Genomic DNA, 8,518 nt, shown 5'->3' on the forward strand with positions numbered 1-8,518 from the left:
TATCTTTAACTCATTACTGCTTACTAAATAAGAGTTGTGTAATTATAAGTCATAACAATATAGATAATCATACATATAGAGGAGTAAAATAAATTAAGTTAAACTTTATAAAAATGAGGCGATGGACCTAAAACTCAGTATGTTCTGCTAGGATTTGTATAGCTTTCTTTTGGTTTGATTTAAATGAGTTTGTGTCTCTTAGATGAACCCACAGGCCAAATGGTGCTAGGTGTCTCAATAACCACCATAGGAAGTTTATGAAACAAATTTCAAGGCAAGAGCTGTAATTACCACAAAAAAAAATAAATGGCTGTCAGTAAAGACTATCTCTTCAATGGAAATGTCTTACTTCCTGTCTTTCTTTTTCTCTCTCTTCCCCACCTGCCACGTAAGTGTGGGCATCATTAATGCTGTTCACAATACCTCCAGCACTCTTTAGTCTAAGCACATGCAGCACAGAGTGGCTCACCTCCATGCCCTTTGGAGTTACAGGGCCTGTGAGTCTTACTTTGGCCATGCCTGACTTCTGGACATCTCCACAAGAAGCAAATGGAATGATTTTCCATGTAACTTTTTCTCTGTTAGTGCAACTAGAAACAGAACCGCTCAAAATGATAGCTTTTCCATGAGTCCAAGACATGGAGTGATGACAATGACGTGGAGCAGAGGCCCCAACTGAACTTCAGTGGTTAAAGATAAACGTTAAAAAAGGACAATTAAATCATGACGAAAATGAGAAATTTTCAATAATATGGAACATTAAAACCTTTGTATTTTGTCAATCTCTCTCTCTCTTTCTAAATATATATATATTTATTATATAAGTGTGTGTGTATATTTATATAATAAATATCACATATACCAAAATCACATATACCCAAATATACACACACAGATGTCACAGGAATATCATATATAGTATCTATACTAAGTATAGTAATGTTGTGGCTTTTTTGTTCCCATAGTTCAGTGAGCAGGAGGGAGTGGCACCCAGTGGCTTCTCCTCTCTGGTTGTTTGGCTAGCAGGAGGGACTATTACAGCTCTTTTACTTCCTCCACCTGTAGCTTGAGGAGCAGGAGCTCTTTCAGTCCCACAGTTCGGTGAGTTCTGGGTTCTGGTCTTATGACGAAGAGGAATAAGGTACATGGACACCGGAGAGTGAGTAAGGCAGAGTAAAATGTTATTAAGTGACAGAAAGAAAGCTCTCTGCAACAAGAGGATGTCTGAAAGTGGGTAGCCATCTGTGAGGCTAAGTTTGGGGTTTTTATGGGCTTAGAGTAGGGGAGTGCATGCTTATTGGTCCGTGGGTGGCCTTGGAAAAAGCACCATTCAATTGGTTAAAAGGCATCATTCCAAACGAACTAATGAAGAGATAGTGGGTAAGATGGGGATAGAAGTTCTCACTCTAGTTGTGGAATCAATCTGGATCTGGCAGCTCGGTTTTCAGGCTTTAAATTGTCCTTGGCTTGAAGGTCGGGCTTCACTAGGAACCCATCCATGTCTACCTAGGAATTTGCCTGTCTCTTGTCAGTATCAATAACATAATAAAAAGCTCTTTCAGATAATAGAAATATTTTTCCAAGGAAATAAATATTATTCTCCAATGTAAATAAAGGAAGGTATTGTATCATATGAATGTATTCTCTTATAATTTAATGATTACTTATTTGTGTCTTTGTTTTAACCTATTTGACTTTTTTCAAATATTTGTGACAATAAACAATATCTGATAAGCATCCCAGCTTCAGAATATTTTCATAAAACATCATTATTTTCTACAGAGCATAAGTTTCTGTGTGTAGAATTTCTGAGTCATGCATATAAAAAATTGTCTCATATGTAAAAATAAACCTATTTTTTAGTGTAACAATTTACCCTTTACTAACTGAATGAGTTTTTACATTTTTCTGCATTCTTACTGAAAATAAGAATTAGTTTTGTTAACTGTTTGCCAATTTTACTAATAATTTTAGATTATTGAATTCATTTGCCTGTATTTAATAACTATGCCTGTATATGCATTTTTATATTTTTATTTATTATATATTTATATATTTATATATTTTGTCTACTAGATGTAGTACCAATATAGACATGTGTTCTAGTTTGGCCAATATAGTTATGTATATCACCATTCTTCTGGGGTGAGTCAGTGAGAGGAAAACTTTCTTGCTTCAGAAAATAAAATATTGAACTTCCCTGGATGTAAATATATTGAATCATATAAATCTGTATGCTGATATAATATACACAGTCAGCCTCTCCCTTTAGGCTATAAAACTGAGATATAATGTAAATTGTGTTATCAATAAGATATCTTTAACTGTCTCCAGGAGATTTTCTGAAGACAAAAGTAGTTTATATTTATGATAGCTGTTAAGATAATGTCATATTTTTATTTGATCAAAACTAACATTAAATTTGTCAAAGAAAACTGAATTTGAACTCTTCATAATTATTATATTTGTGTTAACTTTTTGTATTTAAATTTTAGTCATGCCAACTATTTTCTCCAAAGAGAAACAATAGCAACTATAAAAGTCCAGTAGTGTCATCTAATAAACTGCAAATCAAGTCATTTTCACTATACCGGTAGAGATAGGAACAAATCAGTTATTAGAATAACTGATTTCTGACAATGGTTTTTAGATTTCCAGGTTGTGATTATCTAATTCATGTTTTATCTATGAATATAATTTGAACTAGAGCATTTGAGTTTGAGAAAAATAAAATAAAAATTGAGATACATTTCAGTTATTACAGATGTGTTTGCAAAACTGTTTGGAAAAGATAAATGAAACAAAGGTTGAGGTAATTAAAAACTTGATTTGAAACATGAATAGAATTAAAAGGGTAGGAGTTGCTTATATAATATAAAATATAACCGGACCTCAGATCTGAATCTTCATCAAAGATCACAGTCCAGAAATCAAAGTTAAAGTCAAAACTATTTTCTTGAATTAATTAAATGTGATTAGGGGGAGATAGAGACATAAATAAATTAGATAGATAGATAGATAGATAGATAGATAGATAGATAATCAATAAATTATAGATATATACATAGAAATGTCATAGATAATAGAAATAATTTTTCTTTTTCAGCCACTTCCTTTACTCAGCACGATTACTCTTTTACTTCTGTTATACCTCACCCCACTGAAAACCACCGCTCCAGCTGTCAGCCAGCATTATCTCTTTGCCTTTTTTTTAATCCCCCTTGCTTCTGTTCTATAACACTTGAAATAATTTGACTCTTAGGACAACGCCTGCATCAGAGTTAAGGTATGAGAAGAAAGTAATTGGGCCAGTCAAAATCCTCTTTTGCAGGTGGATCACAGAGGCCATTAATAATGGCTGTTCTATTTCAGAAAATAATCCCTTAAGTGGGAGTGAAACTGAGATTGTTACTTTATACCCAAGGAAATTTCTCAGTATTGCCAATATAAAAAGGTGGAATAAATATTTTATATTCTACCTTTAGAGTCCAACGTGCTCTTTTATTGAGGACAATGGATCAGAATTGGCAATATGAGAGCAAATAACTTTTCTAGAGGAAGAACAAACTGCTAAGCAAATCAGAAACTGGAATTTTAGGAAATAGTTAAATCATTGCTTTATTAGTACTTAGATTTTAAAACATCTATGAGAGAATGATATATAAGAAATAAAATAGAAATATAGAAAAATAATTAACGATTGGGGAAGATACCCTCATGGGTGTACTAGTCTTAATAGAATAAGCTATGCTGAAGTAATAAGCAACTTGTAACTCTCAACAAACTAACAAAAGTGTCTTTCTCACTCACACAGAAACTACTACAGACTGAGCCAATCCTGGGCATCTGATCTCAAGGTGCTGACTCAGAGATCCAGAATGCTTCTTTCACAGCTGCATAGCCTTCCTAAAGAAAGTCTGAAGGGCATTTCTTTTTTTCATTATAGATATGAAGTGCATTTACTCTGCTCACATTTCCATGGCCTGAGCTAATTACTTGGTCTCATCTAAATGGAAAAATATGATAAAATATAGTTTTCTATGTGTAAAGGATGGAGGAATATAAAACAATTTGGAGTAAGTATACAGCATAGTAGCTACCTACCAAGATGGGATTCTATTGCTTAATTATAATATGGGTTCATACAAGTATAAAAATCTCAATTTTCTATAAAACATATATATAAACAATATTACATTTACATGTTAAAATATCTATAGCAACTTCTGAATGAAGGAATTCTTTGTGGCTTCTTTTATCTCTCTTGAGCTGTTTGTGCATGATATTTTAAATTTTTGAATCTTAAATAAGCATAACGTGCAAGTAATTAAAGTGTGCTTAAGTTTTATGTGTATATAAGCATACGTGTGTATATGCATAGAGAAGCAGAGAGAGAAATAAAAAGAGAAAATACCCTTATTTTCTTCTATTTAATTTACTACATATGAATGCAAACAAATGTTTTGCGTACCTTTATTTGTTATATTCTGGAAAATTGCCTTTTCAAATACATAGTGGTCTATAAAAAAAACATTTTTTTGTTTTTTTAACAATCAATAGCCTACTCAATTCATTGATTTATCTAGCTAATATTTATATATGCCTTTTTTTTTTTTTTTTTTTTTTTAGACAGAGTCTCGCTGTGCCTCCCAGGCTGGAGTGCAGTGGCACGTTCGCGGCTCAGTGCAACATCCGCCTCCCGGATTCACACCATTCTCCTGCCTCAGCCTCCCGAGTAGCTGGGACTACAGGAGCCTGCCACCACGCCCAGCTAATTTTTTGTATTTTTAGTAGAGACAGGGTTTCACTGTGTTAGCCAGGATGGTCTTGATTTCCTGATCTCGTGATCCACCTGCCTTGGCCTCCCAAAGTGCTGGGATTACAGGCGTGAGCCACCGTGCCGGGCCACATGTCTTCTTTGTGCTAGGCACTGTTCCAACACTGAGGGTTTCACAGTGGGGACAAAATTTAAGAGTACTATGGAATTTACATTTATAGCAACAGAAAGACAAAAAATAAATGAGAAAAAAATCAATAAAATAGAATGCTCAAAGTGTGAATGAAAGAAGTAAAACCGGTAACAGAAGTGCAAGGGTGGTAGAGGGAGGAAATTTAATGTTAAATAGTTTGACAAGAGAAGGTCTTTCCATTAAATTGATTTCTGAGTAAAGAATTTATAAGGAAGTCTGAAATGTAGATGTCTCTAGGGAGACCATTCCAGACAGAGAAACCAACAAGAAAAAGAAATATCCTGAAGCTGAACACAGGCGAATGTTCTGGGAGTAGGAATGAAGCCAGTGAGGCCAGAGGGAAGAAAGTCTAGAATTAGAAATCAGCGAGGTCAAGCATATGGCAATGTATTCTCTGAGATCTTTCAAGCCAGAGCAGTGAGTTTGGCGTTTCATGAAGGAAAGTCATGGGAGTGATTGAAGCAGAAAAAGAGATAATATATAGTCTACTGAGTCACTCTGGCTGCTGTGTGGAAATGTATGTTAAAGAGGGCCAAGAACAGAAGTAGATCATTTTGAGGCAAGAATTGATATAAGAGATGATGCTCGCTCCAACTAGAATAGTAGCAACAGAGATGGTGAGAAATTGTCAAGTTATTGATCCATTTTGAAGGGAAAGTCAAAAGAATTTGCTGATAGAACAAATTTAGAATGTGAAAGTAAGAATGGAACTCCCCTTTACCTAGAAGAGAATTTGAGGAGAGATTTGAGACATAAAATCAAGAGGCATTCTGTATATATTGTTTAGAGGCCTCATAAAATAACTAGGTGAAAGTGTTAAAAAAATAACTGTGTGTTTAGGAGTCTGCAGTTTCAGTAAGAGAGATTTTCCCTGAGACTAAAATAATATCCATTCATGCTTCTTTTGTATTTATTATACCCTAGGAACTGTTTTCTCTACTATATGTATGAGTTTTTAATTTATACAAAATTCCCATAGGTACTATTATTATCAACATTTTACCATGAGAAGGCTAAGACATAAAGAAATTAAGTATTTGTGCCAAAGACAAAGAGTTACTAACTGATAGAGCAAATGTCTGTGTGTCTGTTAACCCTGCTTATTGTCTCTCTTGGTAATTAATTATCATACAGCTAACATTTAAAGCCATGAAATTAGGTGAAATCCCCAGGGGAGAGTCAGGGAGAATGGAAGAGTTCCAAGGAGGGGTGAAAAATAACATCTTATGAGAAAGAAAACAAGCCAGGTTGTGCTGTCTTGGAAGCAAAGACAGTATTTCAAGAAGGATTTGATCATGTGTATAAAATTATGCTGATAGGCTAAATTAGAAAGGCTTCTGGTTGGCTTTGGGGCTTAACTGCATGGAGGATTTGGGGAACCTTGATGAAATCAGCCCAGTGAAGGGACAAGTGTGAACTTCAGAGAGACAAAAAATGATGACAAGAAATAGAGATAATTTTTGAAGAGTTATTTTGGAAGCAGAACAATGGCAAAGAAGGGTGGTTGGATCAAAAAAGGATTTTTTGTTTGCATACATTTTAAGTTAGAAAAACACGGCACTGTCTCTGCACTTTGCTGACGTAGAGTATATAAGCACAAGTGTAAAGAGGTGTTGGGAGTAGAGAAAATTATCATGCTATTTGGTTTATTAATTCAGTGAATGAGAAAAACTCATCAGCTTAGGGTAAGTCAAAGTTCTGAAGCTACAGGAAGGAAAATGAATAGGAGAGATAGTATATAACTACTGTCAATGAAAAGAGTCAAACTATATAAAATATTTTAAGAGATTTATTCTGAGCCAAATATGAGTGATCATGGTCCGTGGAGGTCCTGAGAACATGTGCCCAAGGTGGTAGAGGTACAGCTTCGTTTTATATATTTTAAGGAGGCATGAGACATCAATCAAACACATTTAAGAAATACATTGGTTTGGTTCAGAAAGGCGGGACAACTCAAAGTGGGGGCTTCCAGCGCTATAGGTAAATTTAAACATTTTCTGGTTGACAGTTGAGTTTATCTGAAGACCTGGGATCAATAGAAAGGAGATGTTCAGGTTAAGATAAAGGTTATGGGACATGAAGTTTTATTGTGCAGAGGAATATCTCACATAGCAGACTTCAGAGAGAGAGCAGGTGACAAAATGTTTCTTATTGGACCTAAAAGGGTGCCTGGTTCTTAGTTGGTTATCTCATGGATCTGGAAAGGAAGGAAGGAAAACAACGGGGAGAGGGGATTCTCTATAGAAGTGAATTTTTCCCACAAGAGACTTTACTGGGCAATTTCAAGATATGGCAGAGAAACATGTTTTGGAGAAAAATATTTTGATTTTCCTCCTTGTGTTGCCAGAGTCAGATTGGAAAGTAAGTCATGATATACAGAGTTAAATAAAACCCATCTGATGAGAATTTATGGTTTGTAGGGCTTAACTCCCCAGACCCATTAGATGGGAATTTGGGCAAGATTAAAAAAAAAATCAGAACTTGGTCCTCACTACTGTGAAAGTTAGGCCACATTAGGGTCAATTTCACTCATAATAGGAGAAATGCAAATTAATACTACTCAGAGATGTCATTTACACCTGCAGATGGGCCCCATCACAAAAGCATGACAATACATTACTTTTGGGGAGATCTATCTTACATTGACATTGGGAATAAATAATGGTTCAACCCCAGTAGAGATAAATTTAACAATATCTATAAAACGTATATGTTCATTTAGCTCTTGACCCAGCAAGACCACTTCTATGAAACATTGTCAAAAATGTAAGAAGGCTTGGGTCTAAGGTTATTTACTGTGGTATAATTTGTAATTACAAAAGTTTGGAAATAATTCAGGTGTCTGTGAGTGCAGGACTAGTTGAATAATTTATAGTTCATCCACATACTGAAACATTCCGTAGCTTTAAAAATGAAGAAAGAACATCTCTGCACTGACTGGAAATAATCTGCAGAATGGAATATAAAATGAAAAAGGCAAAGTGCAGAACAATAAGTACTGCATGCCACTTTTTCTATAAGAAAGAGGAAGAGAAATGTGTATATGTATTAACGTGTTCACTCATATACATATATATTTGCTAAAATAAGTTTTAGAAAAGTAAATAAAAATTAATACAAATGCTTTCTATAATGGTAGGGAAAGACAAGGATGGAAGGCAGAGATATAATTAGAACCCTCATAATAATTCTTTTTATGTAGCATTGAATTTGATAATTTATGCATATTTTATATATTCAAAAAATAAAATTTTTATCAAAGGGAATAAAGGCAGACAGTAAAAGAAAAAGGGAATTAAAAGAGTATGCTGCTAAAGTTTGAAATTTTTTAAAAAAATTCTGCTAAGTAGGTAAAAATATTTTAATGAAGTTTTAATTTGCATTTCTGCTATTTTGGCAAAATTGAGCATCTTCTTGTGGGCATAAGACTCTTTTTAACTTTTTTTAAAAATGTGATGTGATTATTTATTCCTTTTTGCCCATGTTCTGTTATGTGTTGTTCTTGATTTTTAGGAATTCTTTTTATATCAGGGATGTTAACCTTTTCT

At 34.2% G+C, this 8,518-nt stretch overlaps 1 long non-coding RNA gene across 1 annotated transcript in view; it reads left to right on the plus strand.

The window, feature by feature from the left end:
* The window catches only part of LINC02338 (long intergenic non-protein coding RNA 2338), a 43,657-nt gene extending 36,486 nt beyond the window's left edge, over positions 1 to 7,171 (plus strand). The window contains exons 2-3 of the long non-coding RNA NR_120416.1: positions 3,947 to 4,076; positions 4,630 to 7,171. This is a non-coding gene — a long non-coding RNA (long intergenic non-protein coding RNA 2338). The remainder of the gene's footprint in view (positions 1 to 3,946; positions 4,077 to 4,629) is intronic.
* Positions 7,172 to 8,518: the final 1,347 nt, after the last annotated feature.

This window comes from Homo sapiens, chromosome 13 (genome assembly GCF_000001405.40).
Source record: "Homo sapiens chromosome 13, GRCh38.p14 Primary Assembly".
NCBI lineage: Eukaryota > Metazoa > Chordata > Mammalia > Primates > Hominidae > Homo > Homo sapiens.